This window comes from Homo sapiens, chromosome 12, assembly GCF_000001405.40.
Source record: "Homo sapiens chromosome 12, GRCh38.p14 Primary Assembly".
Taxonomy (NCBI): Eukaryota; Metazoa; Chordata; class Mammalia; order Primates; family Hominidae; genus Homo; species Homo sapiens.
The window spans coordinates 130776919-130798183 of record NC_000012.12 but is presented as its reverse complement, the minus strand read 5'-3'; the positions used below and the strand labels follow the sequence as shown (position 1 = coordinate 130798183).

Here is a 21265-nt window from a genome sequence, read left to right as displayed (position 1 = left end):
CCTCCACCTCCCGGGTTCAAGTGATTCTCCTGCCTCAGTCTCCTGAGTAGCAGGGATTACAGGCACCCGCCACCATGCCAGGCTAATTTTGTATTTTCAGTAGAGAGAGGGTTTCACCATGTTGGCCAGGCTGGTCTTGAACTCGTGACCTCAAGTGATCCGCCCATCTCGGCCTTCCAAAGTGCTGGGATTACAGGCGTGAGGCACGGTGCCTGGCACCAAATTGTTGGCTACACATTTGATGCAGTGAACATTTATTTTTAATTTAGGTTATTCGTGACTTCTTGGTTTGGAGGAAAGAAGAGAATTATTTGAGACCGTGGACCTGCAGTCTTAGGTAGCACCCACTTAAAGGGATCCTCAAAAGAAGGGAACCCCTTTCACTCAAGATGCACAGACTTTGCATTAAAAAGGGTTCAGGGAACCCTGTGTGATTTTTTTGTTACGGGGCAAAAATTTAAAACTTACTCTCCTAACTTAGGCATTTTATGATAGTGCCCCTGACACTGGAGAGATTATGGGTTTTTCACATTGTCACCTCCTTGTGCTAATACACAGAGATGCTGATTTTCACCGTGTTAGGAAAAAATGGAGTGAGACGGTGTGTGTGGATGCACCTCCAGGCGATGGCCCTGAGACGCACCCCCGGGCTGCAGGCTCAGCCGCCAGGGCACACCCTCACTCACACCCCCGGGCTGCAGGCTCAGCCGCCAGGGCACACCCTCCGCTTTTCCTGGGTATGTCTAAGTATGCTCGTCATCTCTGAAATGCCAGACATGGTTTCTCATGTTATTTCATTTATTGCTTTGAAAAAATTGGCCCCTAATGTAAACTGAGGTGAAGAGATACCTGTATAAAGTGCTTAACTTAGTTCCAGGCCTAAGTCAGCTTTCATTAAAAACAGGCAGTCCTGTTCCTTTTCTCCATGACCTGAACACGTCAGTCTGGTGAAAACGATAGTGAAAGTTCGTTGGTTTTACAAAGGGGGAAGGTGGTGGGTGTGATACGTTTTCATTCTCCTCTGTGGATGAGCAAGCCTGGCTCTGTGAGGTGCTTGGGGTCTGTGCGGTAGCTGGCGTATAAACTCGTCAGAGACGTGATGCCTGTTTCAGAAATGACACTGTCTTTTTGATGAGATGCCTGCTAATGGAACCCTCCTGGCTTGTCTCCCTGTCCCCTTGCCGCTCAAATGCTTTGCTGCTGCCCCTGGCTCAGGTGTGGGTCGTCCCCACTCCTAGTGTCCTGCATTTATTCCCGCGGAGCCATGTGGCCCTCAGAGGGAGGCCAGGCAACGTTTGTAGAAGGGTTTTTTTTTTCTGTGTGCTATGTCAGGAGCAGTGAAGAAGTAACTGCCAAGAACATAAAAGAAGGAGCGAAAGGCCAAGTACTGAGTGTGTCGGGGCTTCATGACGAGGCAGTGGGGCTCTCCGTCACTGAGCTAGCAGGCCCGCACCTCTGTACATGCGGAAAACTAACTGCATGTCTCAGTCATCAGAAATGTGGCAAAATGACTTGGTCGTGCTGTCCCCATGGATGAAACCTGAAATAACAGTTACATAGCAGCTTATCGCCAAGTAGTCTGACCTTATTAAGTCACTCTCTCAAGAAGTCGCCCAACAGTATTAAGCAGTGTCCTGTAACTTAGCTTCTAAAGTGAGTTCTGATGGGTTGTTTTGCTTTATTTTATTTTATTTTTTTGAGATGGAGTCTTGCTCTGTTGCCCAGGCTGGAGTGCAGTGACACGATCCTGGCTCTCTGCAACCTCTGCCTCCTGGGTTCAAGTGATTCTCCTGCCACAGCCTCCTGAGTAGCTGGGATTGCAGACCCACGCCCGGCTGGTTTTTGTATTTTTAGTAGAGACAGGGTTTCGCCATGTTGGCCAGGCTGGTCTCAAACTCCTGACCTCAGGTGATCCATCCGCCTCGGACTCCCAAAGTGCTGAGATTACAGGCGTGAGCCACCACACCTGGCCAGGTCGTTTTATTTTAAATGAAGGATGTCTTTTAATGTGGCAATATGAAATTAACCATGCATGATATAATCAGCTTGCTTTTCTTTGACAGAAAAAGTGGATAATTATTGCTGTGTCAGTGGTTCTGGTTGCCATAATCGCTCTAATTATTGGCTTGTCAGTTGGCAAATGATGGTGTGGATAACGTCAGTGTGCATGCCTCTCTGCCAGGGTGGGAGTAAGTAACTCATCAACTAATTTACTTATTAACTTTTGCAATTAACCAATAATAGTATTTGCTTAATTGTAATAGACATAAAACTAATAAAAGCTTGCCAGCCACGCAGTACAGATAATGCCATCTAGTGATACATCTGCCTGTGTGCTGATTCGAGTGCCCAGCCACTGTGTTTACTGAGAACAAGCACAGGCTGGGCGGTAACTCATTTTTAAACCAAGGTCACCTTCTTATCCCGTTTTTAAAAGTGTTTTTGAGACAGGGTCTAGCTGTGTCACCCAGGCTGGAATGCAGTGGCGTGATCATGGCTCACTGCAGCCTCGACCTCCTGGGCTAAAACTGTCCTCCTACCTCAGCCTCCCGAGTAGCTGGGACTACAGACGTGCACCAGCACACTCGGCTAATTTTTAAAAAAATTATTTTTAGTAGAGACGAGAACTCTCTGTATTGCCCAGGCTGGTCTCGAATTCCTGGCCCTCAGCCTCCCAAAGTGCTGGGATTATACATAGACATGAGCCACTGTACTCAGCCTGAATCTTTTGTTTTTGATCTAAGACCATTAGCTCTTTACATGTAGTGGATCCTTCATTAAATGTCATAGAAATTCAGTGAAGATTAATTCTCAGTTGTAATGTTTTGTCTCCTGAGTTTTAGCTTTTAGAGTAATTGCAACACTGAAAGGTACTTTATAAAATACACTAACGCATCATTTTACTATGGAATCGAGGGCATGGATGAACGCTGAGAAAAACATTGACTGAAAGGAACATCCTTCGACCTTTCTATAGGCAGCATCTATTTTATTTAAAAATATTTCCTTTAATATTAAAAGGAAAATTACGTATTATATTTAGTTAGCATGCCTGTTAATTCTTAAAGAATTCTGAATATAAAAGGTATCAGTTTATTTAAAGAATCAAGGTGTGAGTGTCACCTTTCCTAAACTTCAGCAGGCTTTGTGGTTTCCCCCTGGTTTTCTTCTGCATTGGGAGCCATCCTTGCACTGGCCCTGAAGTGGCAATGCTGTCGGTGTGTTACAGGTGGACACAGCAGTGATTTCTCTGTAAATGTTTGGCACAATTCTTGTATTAGACAGTTGTGAACTGTTCCCAGGTGTCTAGAGTGTGGCAAGTCATCCCCAATGAATTTATTCTTGGGTTATGGAAGTGACTGCAGACTTGATAGTCACCCAAGGCTTTTTAAAAAGTTAACATACAGCAGAAAGGAATCACGAGCATGGTTAAGTCTCACTATTGCTTTGTAATCTTTAAGATTTATTCCTTCAACATGGCAACACCCTGTCTCTACAGAAAAAAAAAAATCCAAAAACTAATTGGGCATGGTGGCACACGTGCCTATAGTCCCAGCTACGCCAGAGGCCGAGGCAGGAGGATCACCTGAGCCTGGGGAGGTCGAGGCTAGAGTGAGTCTAGATCGCACCACGGCACTCCAGCCTGGGTGACAGAGCGAGACCATCTCAAAACAAGAGATTGATATCTTAATGTGAGCATCTGTTACGCTCACCATGCAGTTACCAGATGAGAAGTTTTCCAGTTAGTCTTCTGACATTTATGCAAAAGCCACAAAATTACACCTGAAATTACTCTGTAAGGAGCTCTGGGATGCTGCGTGTGTTAACATTCCATTATTTGGCAGTCAGAACTCTCTTACCGTCTATTTTTATTAGGCAGGATGTTTGTGTAGGATGTTTATTAGGCAAGATGTTCTATTTTTTTCTTCTTAGCTTTGCTGAAAATATTGTACGTGATTTTTCTTCATTGTTATAGTAGTATTTTTCAATATTTTCATGATTCTAACATGTACTTTCTGAGTTTTTTCCTAGTAGCTATAATATGGTTAGTTTAATGTGGTTACACTAAAGATAAAATTACAATTTGTAGCGCGGACACAGTGAAATGCGCGACTTTTCATGGGCACTACTTGGCATTAAGGTTGACTAAAAGAAGGCTCCTCTCAGTGTGACCCCTGGGGAGTGGGGCTTGAAGTCCTGTGCCCCGGGCCTGGCTGGCCATTTCACCCTAGTGTCTGTAAATAAGAATGAACATAGAAGGATCCTCATTCATAAAAAGCAGACCAAAATGAATACCAGCAGTTATCTTTGCATAGGAAGGCAGTGGTTAATGTCCTTAACTTCACTTTTAAAATATTAACATAGCCTTTCATCCTTTAGCAATTGGCCTTCCTGGGGCTGGCTGCTGCCCCTCCCTGCAGGGTGTGCCAGGTGCAGGCCTGTCACCCCGGAGCATGGGTGGGATGGGCTGCTTTAAGGAGACAGGTGGAGTCTTACAGGTATTCGGTGAGAGGGCCCTGGCCCAGACCTGGAGCTGGACTCCCCAGGGTGTACCCTTTCCACTCTCGCTGTCACCAGGAGATTAGATGACTCCTGAGTCCTGTACCCTAGACTCCATGTAGTTGACAGTCATCCTGAAAGCCAGATGTGGCAGGAAAGTGCACACACATCGAGCACCCAGACACGTGGCAGGCAGCACAACAGCAGCAGGAGATGAGAGCACGCTGCGTGGAGCTGACTCCAGGTGGCCCAGCTGCCAGCACACTCACTTGCTGAGCGGGAGGGCGCGCGCCTCCCTCTGGAGGGAGGGAAGGCATCACAGAGAAAAGGAAGAAGAGGTTTCTCTAGGAAGGTGCTGAGAGTGGGGCGTAGGAGCGCATATAGAGGATGAGAGAGTGGCTGGGGCTTTGCAGGAAATGTGCGTGATGTTAACAGGGAACCAGAGTTTGAGGGAGGGGCCCTCCTGCAGGCAGCTCTCCCCGGTCCTGAGGAGTCACTGGGAGGCTCACCGGGGCCTGCCATGCGCCTCTTGATAACCCTGTATAACTGACTGAGCCGGCAGTCTTGGAACTGTCCAGGCTCAGCAAACAGGATTTCTTAGGTAAAAGCACTCGTACATTTGGAACTGTAATTAAAATGATGGATCTCTGCTGTTCAAAAAGAGAACTCAAAGTCCTACAGCGCGGTGCCTCCTGTTGTGTCTTCCTTTCCTTCCCTCAGACAAGCTTCCTGGAGGAGACTCCATTTATTAAGCCAAAGGTGGTCTCGCTTTGCCTTGTGTGAGGATACTTGTTAATTTTAAAAAAGTTAAATGCTGTGTCGCACCCTGCTTCCAGACCATCAGTGCAGTAGAAGAATGAATGAATGTCTTGTTGATTTCTTACACATTTGTCATATTTAAATGTAAAAAATGGATAAGGCCAGGTGCAGTGGCTCATGCCTGTAATCCCAACACTTCGGAAGGCCAAGGCAGGAAGATCGCTTGAGCCCAAGAATTCGAGACTAGTCTGGGCAACATAGCAAGACCCCATCTCTTAAAAACATATTTTTTAATTAGCTGGGCATGGTGGTGCATGCCTGTCATCCTAGCTCCTTGGGACACTGAGGTGGGAGGATTGCTTGAGTCCAGGAGGATGTGTTTGCAGTGAGCCATGTCTGCACCACTGCTCTCCAGCCTGGGCGACAGAGTGACACCTCCTTTCAGAAAAGAAAGAAAAAATAGGATTTTTCAGCCAACAAGAAATTCGTTTAAAGTTTTACAAATATGTGTAATTCATCCAATTAAAAGCAATCCTGGAGTTTTATTATGATTAAAAGAAAGTGTCGGCCGGGCCTGGTGCCTCACGCCTGTAATCCCAGCATTTTGGGAGGCTGAGGCGGGTGGATCACGAAGTCAAGAGATCGAGACTATCCTGGCCAACATGCTGAAACCCCGTGTCTACTAAAAATACAAAAATTAGCTGGGCGTGGTGGCGGGTTCCTGTAGTCCCAGCTACTCGGGAGGCTGAGGCAGGAGAATCACTTGAACCCGGAAGGCAGAGGTTGCTGTGAGCCAAGATCACATTCTTTTCTATGACATGGAGGAGTCCTTTCTTGATAATGGATGTATTTTTTAAACTATCCCAAATCCCAGAAGGATTAGTTAGCAAATGCCATTGTTGATTTCTTTGATACATTGCAAATTAATGTTTTTCTTTATCTTGCAGAAATTGATGTTCATTATTATTTGTGTAATTGTTTTGCTTGTGATCCTTGGAATTATCCTAGCAACAACATTGTCCTAGCAACCATATCCCAAGAGCCATTTATCCTTGAGACTCAGACCACATCTGCAACCAAATCAGCATCCTGTCATTTCGTGAATGAATCTCAGACGCTGTAACCCGGCATCGAGTGCTGACCTTGTAATGTATGAGTTCACGGAAGAAGCACAACCGAACGTCTTGTTCAGTGACAGCGCCGTAAGCACAGTGGGTGTGATGCGTGACCCTGAATGACACACTACAGAATGTGAGCAGTGTGAGACTTCTCTCACTGGCCTTGAAATAAGAAAATATTGAACATTTTAATATTAAAAATATTTCAGTGTTAACAAATGTGCATGAAGTTTAATTAGGAAGGAATGCTTTATGTTATGAAGGCTTTTTTTTTTTTTTTTGAGACGGAGTCTCGCTTTGTCATCCAGGCTGGAGTGCAGTGGTGCGATCTCAGCTCACTGCAACCTCGGCCTCCCGGGTTCAAGCAATTCTCCTGCCTCAGCCTCCCGAGTAGCTGGGATTACAGGCATGGGCCACCACACCCAGCTAATTTTTTGTGTTTTCTTTTTAGTAGAGACGGGGTTTTACCATGCTGGCCAGGCTGGCCTCAAACTCCTGACCTTGTGATCCACCCACCTCAGCCTCCCAAAGTGCTGGGATTACAGGCGTGAGTCACCGGGCAGGCTGTTCTGAAGCTTTTAGATCTCAGGTCTAAGGCTTCCTTTCCCTCCCTCTCCCAGCTAGTTTGTGCTAATTAAGAGACCTTTTATACTGTTTTATTGCCTGTTTGAAGAAATAATTTTTATCACGTTTTTGTAAGATATCTATAATTTTAAATGTTTATAAATTGTTTAATTTATTAGCATCTTAATGTACCCCATTTTTATATACTGAATGTGGCCTTTTGAGTGAAATAGGAAGCTTCATGGTGTTGGAGCCACCTTTGTACAGTTGTTTAAAGTTTCCCATTGTCACGGAAAACATTGGCTGCAAAGCCCCTCAAAGCCCTCAAGTGCCTTCTGTGAGTTTAAATGTGCTGGTGCCCTCCAGAAAAGCCTCGGCCTCAGCTCCGTTTCCGCCTGTTCCCTCCCCCAGGATAATGAATGGTTACTGCACTGTAAAGACCGTGGTCTCTTTTCACTAAATAGGAGATTCGAGTTTCCCAGTTTACATGAATGAAGTCTGAATTTAAGACGGTGATGAAACTGAGGTTCAGTACTCTCGGGACTCGAGGAAATTATTCCTGAGACATGGAGTAATTCTTACAAATTTAAACTATTGTACAGATCCACATACATGTTGTTAAGTACCTAATGTTTTGCTGAACTTTTAAAAGTTAATTTCCAAAATGTATAGGGATTCATGATAATTAAACCTTTTTATTGCTCATTTTTTTAGTAGAAGAATATCACTTATTTTTAGACTTGTAAAATGTATGAACTGGTGAGCGGACATCTGTTAAGAGAGTCACTAGTCAGAATGTTAAAGGAGTGCATGCAGGATGCCCCAAATGTCGTGAACTCTTGTTACTCCTGTATGTAGTAGTGTAAGCATGTGACTTTTAACACCATTTGGTTTGAAACTAATGTAGAGATGCCTGATTCCAAACAGGTGTGGAGAATATTGAATGGCTCAGAAGCCGCGTCCCTTACTTAACACAATTCCGAATCTCCCTCATCCATGATGCGTCCATTGGATCACTCGCTGGTGGTCACTGTGTGGCAGTTACTAGGGGAATTCTGCCTCTGACTGTTCTTTTTCTTTTGGTCTTTAAACACCCTGTCGTGGGATGTGCTCACTGATTTGTGGCTATGTTGAAGGTATCACTTGTCTTGAGGGTTTTCAATATTTCAGGATCATGCTGGTGGCAAAAGGACTCCACGCCTCTGTGGAATCATGTCCACAGGGGGACCTGCCTCCCGTGATGTCCCACCTTTCCTTCAAGGTCTGTCATATGAGTCCTCCCCTTTTACAACACTTATTATGGTATTTTTCAAGTTATTCTTCTTAGATTTGCAGTACCTACTGAAATTTGTGTTTTTATAGTTGAAGTTAGGAAAATGCTATTTGATTTGTATTTAGATATTTAAGTCACTTGTCCAATGATGTGTATGTCTAAGCCTCATGTACCGATTTGAAGTCAGACTTAAAAATGTATTTACAGATTCACTTGAGACTTTTTAATCGGTTCTTCAAATATTTCATGTTTACATTAAAAATTTCCAGAGAAGCATAAAAGTATTCACTTTCCTGCCTTGTCATTTCTGGAAAGATTTTGGGGAGATATTTTATTGCATATTAATTAATAAATTGTTCTACTAGGAAAATTGCTCTTGTGGCTGTTACTGTGTGTCATGATGTAATTTTTGGAGTATTTGGTGATTTGTTGATGATTAGTGTATATTACAAGCTTCTGTGGTTCACGGCTCAGTTGTCAGTACCATGTATTAAGGGACTTGCTGGAATTCTTGCTGTTTCTAACAGATACCAAGTCAGTGAATTTGGGCTCTATCTCAAAGTCACTCTGTTTGAATTCTTTTGTCAATTTGACACATTCCATTTGTTAATGGGGGGATCTCCCCGCCCCCCACTATGTTCTGAGTTATCCTCTATACTTAATCCTCATTCAGAGTTTTTCTTATTAAGTAGAATTTCTTTACTTCCTCAACTGAATTCTGATCATATTGGAAAGTGACAGTTGAAAACCACTATTGAAAAAAAAGAGAAGATAGAACTGGAGAAAACTAATTCATGGAGACAGAGCCCTAGATGTTAATTTTAATCTATTTCTCTATTTCTCCCAGAATGAATTTCCTTCCAAATCAGTCTTGACGTGTACAGTCAATAATTTATTTATACTTTTTAAAGACACTGTAATCCTATAGTATTTATTGCCTAAATGACTTTTTATGAATGTCTTCAGCAAATCTACACTCACATCCTTTCATGAGTTTAAAAAGTGGATTAAACCGAGGTGGAATTCAAACTGGAAAGGTTGCATGTCCACTAGAGTAGCAGAAAAACCTGGAAAAACTGCTGGCCTCGTGGCGAGTCCCACTCAGCCCCGGGAAGGGGTAGGGCTGGGTCCCCCACACCGTGGCCAGTGCGCAGACCCCTCCTCCCGCCCCTGCCCGCGCTCCCTGACTCCTGCGCTCTGCTAATGCAAACGCGAGTGCCCCAGGCGTGGGTCTGTGGCCGGTGCCTGCACCTGCGGAGTTGCCGAGGTTTTCCTCCCTAGGAGCACTGGCCGGCTCCTTATTTTAGTTGCCACAACAACACTCACTGTTAAAAGCGAGCCCTAAAGGAAAGAACAGACCATACAGGGGCGCACACAGCTTCTCAAATGAATAGAAACCAGGCCCTCGGCGCAGCTGAGGAAGAGCCTAATGCGGATCTTCCTAGTTGGTTTCACATGGAACCAAATGGACCTGGTACCACGCAACCTTTTGTTAAGTTCTGCTTTGAAGATTTTGTTAAAATTCGTATGTGTGCGGTGTGGGAGGGGTGGAGCGTCACACCGGGTTTAAGGCAAGAACATTTAGACATCCAGAGGCAGGAGCCCTCCGGAGACGGGTCTGATTGTCCTGGCGTCAGAGGAGCTATGGAAATGCGCGCCAGGCTCTAAATGACTGGCAGGTGGCAGGCTGTGATGTGGACAGCCCTGTTTCATTGTTTTCCATTTGAGCAGTAAGAGAAATTCAAGGCGGCACTTGGCCCTCCTCTTCTGACTCACAGTCTTTGAACAAGAGAGTGCAGATTCCTAAGCCTGAGAAAACAGGGCCTCTGGCTTCTTGGCAGGGAGAGGTTCCAGAGAGTGCAGGGGAGGCCCTGCCTCCTTGGGTGGGGTGACCTGGGCCTCCTGGGACCTCAGTTCCCTGCCTGTGAAAAAGACGGACGGAGGTAGAGAATCCCAGGGTGCCTTTCCAGGACTAAAGACGGTGCCTTCTTTATGTAAATTCCATCCTTCGCAAGTTCACTGTGGAGCGCTCTCCCGGGGCCCAGTCTCTAGGCGCAGAACACCCAGCCAGGTGGTAGCTCTCCTTTGCAAATTGTACTTTTTAATGTGTCGTTGAGTTTGCTAAAGCAGGTTGCCCTGTGAGTAGAGTACAAGGCTGGTCGTCAGGCGGGGAGAGTGACAATGTTTTGAAATTGTTGAATTTCCTGAGCATGCACCAGGCTCAGTGTCTTGGAGCAGTGCGGGAAGGCTGGTGTTGCGGCGGCCTGAAGAAGCACAGCTGCAGATGCTAACGCAGGCCTGGTGAGCAGGAAGCCGGGGCGTGGCTCAGGCGGAGGGGAGAGGCCGGGGCAGGTCTGGCCCGGCCATGGGGGCCGGGCTCTGAGCTGGAGAGCAAGGTAAGGTCCTAAGCGTCATGTCCGGAGGAGTGGGCAGACAGCGAGGGTTGCACTGAAGTGGCGGGAGACTGGAGCTCTGTGACGGCCTGGGGGTGAGGCCGTGGAGCCCGGGGTGGTGTGGGCAGCGGACTCTCCAGCTGCTTCCTTTCCCCCTGTGTGGCGTGGGCAGCTGGGTCTCTTAGGACTCAAAGCCCCCCCAAAAGCTCATGTCTACAAGCTGGTGTGGCCTCGGGTCAAGTAGGGCCAGGTCCCATGGGACCAAGACATGGCCCATGCAGCTCCCAACATTCCCTGTGTCCTTCCGTGCTCCCACTAGGAATTAGGACCCAGACGCGGAAACACTCAAGTGTAGATCCCTGCCCTGGGCGCGGGTGGCCGGCCCAGTGTGGGGAGGGAGGGCCTCTTTCTCTGGCAGGCCAGCAGCAGGCCTGGAGGGAAGTATTGTCTGCCATTCCTTCGTCGTGTTTGAAAAAGTGCTTTACTGAGGTATAATCTACCATACATTCATCCATCATAACTGTGTAATTATATGATTTTAGTAATTAATAGAATTGTGTAACCACAACCCTCTTTTTTGGGAACATTTCCATCACCCCAAAACTACCGTTACGCCCATTTGCTGTTAATCCCAGCTCCCACCCCGGCGCTAGGCCACCCCCGGCGATGCTTTCTCTCCATCAGTTTGTCTTTTGGACGTTTCATGAAAGTAGGGTCAGGTATGAGAGTCTTCTGCATCTGGCTTCTTTCACTCGCAGCGTCACCGAGGCTGTCCCTTTGAAGCATGCGTGGGTAGTCGGTCCCCTTTTGCTGCTGAGCGTCCTTTATTGTAGGGGGACACTTTGTCCCTTTGCCACCTCACGGACATGGAACTGTTGCCTTTTATTTTATTTTATTTTATTTTATTTTGAGACGGAGTCTCGCTCTGTCGCCCAGGCTGGAGTACAGTGGCGTGATCTCGGCTCACTGCAAGCTCCACCTCCCAGGTTCACACCATTCTCCTGCCTCAGCCTCCCAAGTACCTGGGACCACGCCAGGCTATTTTTTTGTATTTTTGGTAGAGACGGGGTTTCACCGTGTTAGCCAGGATGGTCTTGATCTTCTGACCTCGTGATCCGCCCGCCTCGGACTTCCAAAGTGCTGGGATTACAGGCGTGAGCCACCGCGCCTGGCCGCCAGTTTTACTATGATGAATAATGCTACTATGAACATCTGTGTACATATATTTATATGGACTTATGTTTTCATTTTCCTTAGTAGCTTTCTGGGAATAGAAATACTGGGTCATATGTAAATTTATGTTTAACATTTTAAGGAACAACTGAACTTTCCAAATGCTGTGTCATTTTACTTCCAAGTAAAAGGGAATGTATAAGGATTCCAGTTTCTCCACATCCTCACCAACTCTTGGTATTGTGTTATGTTTTTAAACCTATCTGTGCTAGTGGGTGTGGAGTGGTGTCTCACTTTGGTTTTCATTTGCATTTTCCTACTGATGAACAATGTTGACATCTTTTCATGTGTTTATTAGCCATTCATAGATCTTTTAAAGTAAGATATTAACTCAAATCTTTTGCACATTTTAAATTTGGCTGTCTTATTTTTGAGTTTTATTTAATTTTTTTTTTTTTTTTTTTTTTTTGAGACAGGGTCCTGCTGTGTTACCCAGGCTGGAGTGTAGTGGCACAGTCATGGCTCACTGCAACCTCGACCTTCTGGGCTCAAGCGATCCTCCCACCTCAGCCTCCTGAGTAGTTGGGACTACAGGTGCGTGGCACCATGTCTGGCTATTTTTAAATTTTTTTGTAGAGATAGGGTCTCACTATGTTGCCCAGGCTGTCTTGAACTCCAGGGCTCAAGTGATCCTCCTACCCCAGCCTCCTAAAGTGTTGGGATAATAGGTGTAAGCCACTGTACCTGGCTTATTTTTGAATTTTAAGAGTTCTTTATATATTCTGGATAAAGTTATTGTCTTATGCAATCTTATATCTTTTAAAGAAGTTAAGAAAATAAAGGAGAACGTATATTTGCAGAGTGTTTTATGTTAACATAGTGACCATTTCTGGTGCTCTTCATTTCTACCTGCAGGCTTGGATCACTCTCTAGAGTAGTTTTCTTCCAGCCTCAAGGACTTCCTTTGGTATCTCTTGTAAAGCAAGTCTGTTAGCAACGCATTCTCTGTCTTTTTTTCATCTGGGAATTTCTCAATTTCACCTTCAGTTCGGAAGGATAGTTTTGCTGGATATTGAATTCTTGGTTTACAGTTTTTTTTTTCTTTCAGCCCTTGAGGATCTTATACTACCACTCTCCAGCCTCCTCTGTCTCATGCATGAATTTGGCTGTTAATCATATTGATGCTCCTTTATATGTGATCAGTCATTTTTCTCTTGCTGCTGTCAAGATTTTGTCTTGTCTTTTAGAAGTTTAGGTGTAGATATCTGCATATTCTGTTTTTCATCACATTTTGGAAGCTCTGGGCCACTATTTGCTGAAATGCTTTTTCTGCGTCTTTGTTTTCTTTCCTCCTGCCACTCCCACTGTGTGTATTCTGGGATGTTGGATGCTGGCCTATATGTCTCTGAGGTTCTGTTTGTTTTTCTTCAGTGTTTTTTCTGTCTTTTCTTAATAATGGGTAACCTGTGCTGATCTAACTTCGAGTTCACAGATTCATTCCTGTACCTTCTTGGGTCTACTGTTGAACTCTTTTAGTGAGTGTTTTCATTTTGGTGATTACTTTTCAACTCTAGAATTTTAGTTTGGCTCCTTTTAAAAAATAATTTCTGCATAGTTGAGAATCTCTATTTGTTGATTTATTATTATTTTAATTATGTAAATATAGTTTTCTTTAGTTCTTTGTATTTTAATTTTTTTACCTGCTACCTTAAACTATTAAGCGTTATTAGTTCTTTTTAAAATTAAGTTTCTTTTTGTTTCCAAGACAAGGTCGCACTCTGTTACCCAGGCTGGAGTACAGTGGCCCAATCACTCTCACTGCAGCCTCAACCTCCCTGGGCTCAGATGATCCCCACTCCCCCAACCTTAGCCTTCCAAGTAGCTGGGACCACAGGTGCATGCCACCATGCCTGGCTATTTTTAAAATGCTTTTTGTAGAGACAGAGTTTTGCCATGTTGCCCAGGCTAGTCTCGAACTCCTGGGCTCATGTGATCCTCCCGCTTCAGCCTCCCAAAGTGGTGGGATTACAGGCATGAGCCATCATTTTAAAAATGTTTTTTAGAGATGGGGTCTTGTTATGTTACCTAGGCTGGCCTCCAACTCCTGGGCTCAAGTGACTTTCCTACCTTGGTCTCCCGAAATGTTGTGAGTACAAGCGTGAGCCACCACACCTGGTCTTCTTTAGTTCTTTGATCCTGTTTATAACAGCTGCTTTGAAGTCTTTGCTAAATCAGAAACCTGGAGACACGGAGAGAGAGTTTCTATTCGCTGCTTTTTTATGCTTTCATGGATGAGTTCCACTTTCATGTTTCTTTGCATGTATCATTTGTTTAAAGCTGGATGTTTTTAGTAATGTAGTAATTTTGGAATTGGATCCGCGAAGATGATTGTTGTTGCTGCGTTTTTGATTGTTCATTTTTAATTCCTTTCTTCGTTGGTAACTTGCCCAGGCTCAACCTGTGAAACCTGTCTCTGGTACGTAGGCGTTGATGTCCCTCATCAGTTTTTAAATTTATTGTTTCTATTTTACGTCTGCTTCCCAGGGGTTGTCCCCTTGTCTACATATGTCAGCGGTCAGCCAATAGCTGACAGAGGTTGAGCTGCATGCCCTTGAGCCTCTGCTGATGCACCTGTGTGAGGGTGGGGAGCGTCTTCAGAGGGGAGCCTGTTTTTGAGTCCGCCTAGGCCCTTACTTTCTCCTGTACCCCCATGGTCGATGAGGGAGTAGGCGTGAGCCTGTTCTTCTCTATCTGTATCCCCTTTCCCGCCACCCTCAGCCTCCTCTTGCTTTGTGCCCAGGTGCCAGGCCTGAGGGCCGCATCCACCCCTCATCTGCGCTCGGATTCCTGAGGCTCTGCGGTGGGAAGAACAAGCAGCAGGAGGGGCGGAGGGCGCGCCTTCACTGCCAGCTTGCTTTGGACCCACGCCCCGGGCTTGGTCACTGCCTGACCACAGTTCCCACCAGGAAGAGACCCACCTTCCCTGGCCTCCGAATATTCTGTTTCTCTCTGGTCCCTTCTGGCCTAGGGTGGTGGGGACTTCCTGCTGTCGCTGGTCTCTGGGTCCTTAACATCTGTCCTTTGTTGCTTATCTCTGCCCCCATCTCTGAGAGTAGCCCTTCCAGTCAGGCCTTTTCATGTAAATCGTCCTTCTCACTGGCTTGTTTCCTGCGGGGATGCTGAGGACTCAGGGGTGGTCCCAGGTGTCGGCCCAGGCAGACAGGTCAGTGGTGAGATCATTTGCTAGGAGGAGAAAACGCAGGGGAAAGTGTGTTTGCTGGTGAATAATCAAGAGTTGTGCTTTGTAAATGGTAAACCTGGACATAGAAGTCAAAAATTAAATCAGCCATTGAAGATATGAGGCTAGAGCTCGGGAAGGAGGCGCTGATGACGGAAAATCAGGGAAGCATCTGTGTAGATGGTGCCCCAAACCACAGACTAGAGGAGACCAACCCGGGAGAACGTGGGAAGAGAGAAGGGGCTCAGGACTGGGAGCTGGGGCATTGCAGAACTAGAGGCCTGGAGGAAGACGAGGGTTCAGCAGAGGAGCCTGAGGTGGAACTGAGGGGAGGGCAAGGATGGGAAAGAGTACGGGGTCCTCAAGTCCAAGTGAAAAAAAAGGTTCAAGAAGGAGGGAGTGGTCAGTCAGGGAAGCTGCCCCTGGGAAGGCCAGGAAGAGGGGGCCACCGGGTTCGGCAACACTGACCTCGCTGGTGACCTGGACAGGTGTGGTTTCAGAGGGAGCTGGGGACGGAAGCCTGAATGAAGTGGACTCAGCAGAGATGGGAGGTGAGGCCGTGCCCTGCTGAGGTGGGAGGTGAGGCCGTGCCCTGCTAAGGTAGGAGGTGAGGCCGTGCCCTGCAGAGATGGGAGGCGAGGCCGTGCCCTGCTGAGATGGGAGGTGAGGCCGTGCCCTGCAGAGATGGGAGGTGAGGCCGTGCCCTGCTGAGATGGGAGGTGAGGCCGTGCCCTGCTGAGATGGGAGGTGAGGCCGTGCCCTGCTGAGGTGGGAGGTGAGGCCGTGCCCTGCTGAGGTGGGAGGTGAGGCCGTGCCCTGCCGAGGGCTTCGTTATACAGGGAGGATAACTGGAGGGAATGTGAGGTCAGTGGAGGGTGTTAGTATTTTACATGGGAAATAATAGATACTGAAAAGGGAAGAAATTATATGCAAGAGAGAGGGATTAATTATAGAAACCAAGACCTTGAGTCAGTGACAGGGTAGGGGAACCAGGGCAGCAGCAGAGGGTCGCTGGGCAGCGGGGGTCGCTCATCAGCTGGAGGGGTCCATGGAGCGACACCTGCCCCCACCTCACAGCTGGAGGGGTCCATGGAGCCGACACCTGCCCCCACCTCACAGCTGGAGGGGTCCATGGAGCCGACACCTGCCCCCACCTCACAGCTGGAGGGGTCCATGGAGCCGACACCTGCCCCCCGCCTCACAGCTGGAGGGGACCATGGGGCGACACCTGCCCCCACCTCACAGCTGGAGGGGACCATGGGGCGACACCTGCCCCCACCTCACAGCTGGAGGGGACCGTGAAGCCAACACCTGCCCCCCGCCTCACAGCTGGAGGGGACCATGGAGCTGACACCTGCCCCCACCTCACAGCTGGAGGGGACCACAGGGTGGACACCCCCCCACCTCATAGGCCCGTTGGACGATCACGTGTGGAATAATGCAATGTGTTTGGGTTCGTGCCTGGCACATCGTAAGTGTGAATTAGTACTGTGTGGCTTTACTCTTTGGTTTTCTGAACATTTTTATTCTTGAATAGAATTCGGGCTTTATCTTTGCCTGTAGCCAGAAGGCCTATCTGACTACTTTTCCCTAGACCAAAACAACAAAAAACTACACTCCCATGACATCTCTCCAAACGGGATTCTCTGTAAGTAGAAAAAGATGACTGAGTTTGAAAATACCAGTCGCTCCCCGGTTCTCATTATCATATTGTCAGAAGCATCCTGTGACACCCACAAAGTTTAGCACGTAATCCCATGCACGGCAAGCCCAAAGCTGGCGGGCTGGGGCGGCCCGTGGTAGAGAAAGCTGTCACCTTTGGGATTCCGCAGACAGCAGCCTTGGTGCCACTGGGGTAGAAGCATCCGCGTCTCCGGCATTCGGTGTCAGCATCTACAGTTAGACCTTCCCATCCTTATGGGCTGGGCCCCTCTGCTGTCCTCGAGCTGCATCCAACACCGGGGAAATGAGTCCTGACGACCGAGGGACGTCACCAAGAGTGTCACCACCCACACCGAGCAGCCACAGGCTCCATGTCCAGCCCCTCCTTCCCCCGGGAGGGTGAGCCCAGGAGGTGAGAGCAGAGATCGGGGCCTGGAGGTGCGGCCTGGGAAGCCTGTTGTGGGTGCCGCCTCCCTGAGCCACAACCTGTCCTGGGGATCGGTGGACGCTCCGTGGCTCTGCAGAGCTGCTTGTACCACCCTTGCTGGAGGAGGAGGTTCTCGCAGTTTGCTTCCGTTTGTGGATGAGAGACAGGTGGGTTGGTTGGTTCTTCCCATCATGGCATCACAGCCATTCCACGGGAGGTGATGGCAGCTGATTGTTCTGAGTCTCTGCTAAGTGGAATCACCCCAAGACCTCGAGTGCATGGACCCACTGGGCTCTGGGCCCCGCAGAGACGTGCCCAGGCCTGGATGTGCTGACTGCTGGGCTGTCCCACACAGCTGGAGCCAGGAGCCCACAGTGGGCAGCAGGACCTTGACTTCAGGCGGGCAGAGCCGGGCATCTCCTGTCTCCTCCCTGCCCTGGCTGGGATAGGTTTTTAGGAGTAACTTTGCTAGAGGGAAGATTCTGAGACATCTGCGATCCTGAGCTGCTCCGGTGGGCACCTGCCAGAAGACAGGAGCCCAGGCTGCAGGAGTCGCTGGTGGAGGAGGGGTGAGGCGGCGCCCCTGCCTCTGTGGTTCTGCATGGGGCAGGGCCCCTGCTGCTCCGGGCGGGGAAAGAAGGTAGGAGGCCCTTGCTCCCATGACTCACTCCAGGCTCTACACACGTTGGAGTTTTCTGTTTCTTTCTGAGCTTCTAATGCAGGAATCACAAGCTCAGATCCCTCACAGATGCTATGTTTTGCTTCGGCGTGCATCCTAGGTGGGATTCTTAGACATGGGAAACACACAGCAACATCTGGCCCTTCCACAAAGAAGTACGTATGCTCCCCCAGCACCCTTTGTTTTTTGAGATAGAGCCTCACTGTGTTACCCAGGCTGGAGTGCAGTGGTGCAATCTCGGCTCACTGTACCTCCGCCTCCCGGATTCAAGTGATCCTCCGACCTCAGCCTCCCAAGTAGCTGGGTTTACAGTTGCCCAGCATCACACTTGGCTAAGTTTTGTATTTTTTGTAGAGATGGGGTTTTACCATGTTGCTCAGGCTGGTCTTGAACTCTTGGGCTTAAGCAATCCTGCTTCGGCCTCCCAAAGTGCTGGGATTTTGGGTGTGAGCCACTGCGCCCAGCTTACTCTCCTACTTTTTTCATGAAACATGCAGCTCTTTGGTTTTTCAGATATTTCTACAACTCTGACTGAATGCCAGGGAAGATTCTATGTGCCAAGATCCAGCAGTGAATGGTCCCGGTAAAATCACTGTCCCAACAAGGTGTAATCTAGAGGAGGGAGACAGGAAACAAACAAAATGGTTAAGTCAAATGTATCTGTGCTGGGTGGTGATAAAAATTTTGGAGAAAAATAAGTCTCCGAGGGGATGAAGAATGCTGTGTGGGGATTGTACATCCATGTGTAGGGCAGTCGGGAAGCTCTTATGATAGGTGATATTTGGATGATGACCAGTGGCAGGTAAGCGTGCGATCCCCTTGGATTTCTGGGGAAGGAGCTTTCCTGGCTGAGGAAGAGGTACATGCAAAGGTCCTGAGGTGGGCATGGGCCTGGTGTGTCCAAGCAACTGCAAGGAGGCTTGTGTCGCTGCAGTGACCGGACAGGAGGGAGAGAGACCACAGGGCGTGTGTGCTTGGGTGAGCGGGTGGGGGGCCAGATCACTCTGGGTCTAGGGGGCCATCATATGGACTTTGACTTTGACTCTGTCAAAAATGGGAGTGACTAGAAGATTGTATACGTACAATTGATAACACTTATGTGTTAAAGGCGTTGTGCTGACTCCTGTGGGTAGATGTGCCAAAAGGGTAGAAAAAGATAGAAGACCAAGCCAGGTGCCTCGGCTCACACCTGTAACCCCAGCACTTTGGGAGTCTGAGGCGGGAGGATCGCTTGAGCCCAGGAGTTGAAAACCAGCCTGGACACCATAGTGAAAAATTAGAAAATAGCTGGGTGTGGTGGTGTGTGCCTGTGGTCCCAGCTACTCAGAAGGCTGAGGCAGGAGGATTACCTGAACCTAGGAGGTCAAAGCTGCAGTGAGCTGAGATCGCACCACTGCATTCCAGCCTGGACAGCACAGTGAGACCCTGTCCCCCTCTTCCGCAAAAAAACAAAAAGGAAGAGCGATTATGAGGTTCCTGAGGCCATCTAGACAGGAGGTGGCGGGGACTTAGAGTGGCAGCTGAAGTTGGGGCAAAAGAGGTTGGACACTTTATCAATATACTTTGAGGTTTGAGTCAAAAGCCCTTTGGCTGGGCTGTTAGAGGGTATGGGGTATCTTTATGGGGTAATGAAAAGATTCTAAAATTAATGGTGACAGTTGCACAATTCTGTGAATATCCTAAGAACAATTGAATCGTATGGTATATGAGTTATGTCTCAACAATGTTAACAGAAATGAGGATTTGCAGATGGATTTGGTGTTGGGGTCTGAGAAGGAGAGGAGGCAAGGAAGACCAGCCTGGGCAGCTGGAAGGATGGTCTTCAAGGAGGAAAGCAGACAGAGGAGGGGCAAGTGTTAGGGGAGGGCTAAGAGTTTCAGGAGTTCAGTTGTGTTTTTTGTTTTGTTTTTTGAGATGAGGTCTTGCTCTATTGCCCAGGCTGGAGTGCAGTGACATGATCACAGCTCACTGCAGCCTCGAACTCATGGGCTCAAGCAATCCTCCTGCCTCAGCCTCCCAAGTAGCTGGGACTACAAGTGCACACCACCACACCTGGCTAATTTTTAAATTTTTTTGTAGAGATGGGGTCTTGCTGTGTTGCCCACGCTGGTCTCTAACTCCTGAGCTCAAACAGTGCTCCTGCCTCAGCCTCCCAAAGTGCTGGGATTACAGGTATGAGCCACTGGGCCTAGCCCAGGAGTTCAGTTAGGTCTCGGCTGTGATCAGATATGCAAGGGGATATGGGGGAAGCATTTGGACACTCAACACTGGCTCTGGGGAGAGGGCCGCAGGATGAATGACAGGAGCACCTGGCTGGTGAGTGACAGGGGGAAGACAAGGGGCAGGAGTGAGCCCTGGACCCCTGATGCTCCCAAGTTAGGAGGGGAGGAGCGGCCAGCCAGGGAGGGGACGTCCCAGAAGCCAGGAGGTTCTGTGTTTCATTTCCTCACCGGAAGCAGAGAGCATGGGCACAGAGAGACCTTTCTTTACTGGGCAGAAGCAGCAGTGCCAGCCCAGGGTACATGACAAGTGCCTCAGCATGTGGGATCAGGGAGTGGGGATGCTGGCAATTGTGGATTGGAGGCTCTGGGTGGCAGGAGGCTGCCTTGGGGCTATAGCTGTTGCCATGTACAAATAAGAGCCAAGGGCTGCTGGGCATCAAACGTTCAAGAGAAACTGGAAATTATGAGATTTTGATTGGCTTTTCAAAATGTCCATTTCATTTTAAAAACAAAAACCTACATGTGCCTAACCACACAAGTCTGTGTCCCCACCTGGCCTGTGGCCCGTCACTGTGTTCTGCTTTCTAACACAGGGAGTTACTGCCAGGGGCATGGAGTCTCTGTCAGGCCTTTTCCTAAGCAGGTGTACCCTGGGAGAGGCATGGGCTGTTCAGGGTGTCGGTGCACCTGCACTGGTGTTGACCCTTAGTGTGATGCCAGGCAGGGGCCCTCAGCCCCCCAGGATCCAGCTGGGTCTGAAGTTGAGGGAGGAGGTGGAATCCTGCATGAAGAAAGCTCTGCTGGCTGAGAGCCTGGCTCCCACGCTGACTGTGTGACTGTGGGCAACTTATTTAATGATCCTAAGCCTGAGTTTCCTCCTCCGTAAAATGGGTTCATAACAGTGCTCACATTTTTGGGCCACAGCGAGTATTTAATAAGACTGTACATAAAAGCCGGGAGTGGAGGCATGTGCCTGGAGTCCTGGCTGCTGGGGAGGCTGAGGTGGATCACTTGAGCCTTGGAGTTCGAGGCTGCAGTGCGCTATGATCATACGTGTGAATAGCCATTGCCCTCCAGCCTGGGCAGGATAGTGAGACCCCATATCTAAAAGGAAAAAAAATATTCTACACGTACAGAGCTTAGGGTGTTACTTGACACATAGACACTCAGTAAATGTGATGAAATGCATTTTGCGTGAATATTTCGGCTCTGGCTATTTACATTAGTCCAGAAGGTGAACCCTGTGCTACTTAAGTT

At 48.1% G+C, this 21265-nt stretch overlaps 1 protein-coding gene across 16 annotated transcripts in view, besides 5 other annotated features; it reads left to right on the top strand.

Moving 5' to 3' along the window:
* Window positions 1–8584, top strand: part of STX2 (syntaxin 2) — a 49651-nt gene extending 41067 nt beyond the window's left edge. For 5 of the 16 annotated variants that reach the window (NM_001413773.1, NM_001980.5, NM_001351051.2 and 2 more), the window contains one exon: window positions 6207–8584. In NM_001413773.1, coding sequence (NP_001400702.1) covers window positions 6207–6284 — 78 coding nt within the window. In that variant the 3' untranslated portion in view covers window positions 6285–8584. Of the gene's footprint in view, window positions 1–269; window positions 425–2063; window positions 2190–6206 lie in introns of those variants that run through there. The other 11 variants (XM_047428491.1, XM_017018983.3, XM_017018984.2 and 8 more) reach the window with 5 other exon arrangements.
* Window positions 867–1036: an enhancer, noted in NCBI's record as "active region_7346". NCBI's record gives its function as "activates an Ori minimal core promoter by ATAC-STARR-seq in GM12878 lymphoblastoid cells {active_cell/tissue: GM12878}" and the evidence as "EXISTENCE:reporter gene assay evidence [ECO:0000049][PMID:35858748]".
* Window positions 4666–4960: an enhancer, noted in NCBI's record as "tiled region #967; K562 Activating non-DNase unmatched - State 17:Gen3'". NCBI's record gives its function as "activates a minimal TATA promoter and a strong SV40 promoter by Sharpr-MPRA in K562 cells {active_cell/tissue: K562}" and the evidence as "EXISTENCE:reporter gene assay evidence [ECO:0000049][PMID:27701403]".
* Window positions 9637–10358: an enhancer, noted in NCBI's record as "H3K27ac-H3K4me1 hESC enhancer chr12:131272371-131273092 (GRCh37/hg19 assembly coordinates)". NCBI's record gives its function as "activates a minimal SCP1, AML or CMV promoter by ChIP-STARR-seq in naive H9 embryonic stem cells {active_cell/tissue: H9 hESC(naive)}" and the evidence as "EXISTENCE:reporter gene assay evidence [ECO:0000049][PMID:30033119]".
* Window positions 9766–10060: a silencer, noted in NCBI's record as "tiled region #786; K562 Repressive non-DNase unmatched - State 15:Elon". NCBI's record gives its function as "represses a minimal TATA promoter and a strong SV40 promoter by Sharpr-MPRA in K562 cells {active_cell/tissue: K562}" and the evidence as "EXISTENCE:reporter gene assay evidence [ECO:0000049][PMID:27701403]".
* Window positions 10359–11080: an enhancer, noted in NCBI's record as "H3K27ac-H3K4me1 hESC enhancer chr12:131271649-131272370 (GRCh37/hg19 assembly coordinates)". NCBI's record gives its function as "activates a minimal SCP1, AML or CMV promoter by ChIP-STARR-seq in naive H9 embryonic stem cells {active_cell/tissue: H9 hESC(naive)}" and the evidence as "EXISTENCE:reporter gene assay evidence [ECO:0000049][PMID:30033119]".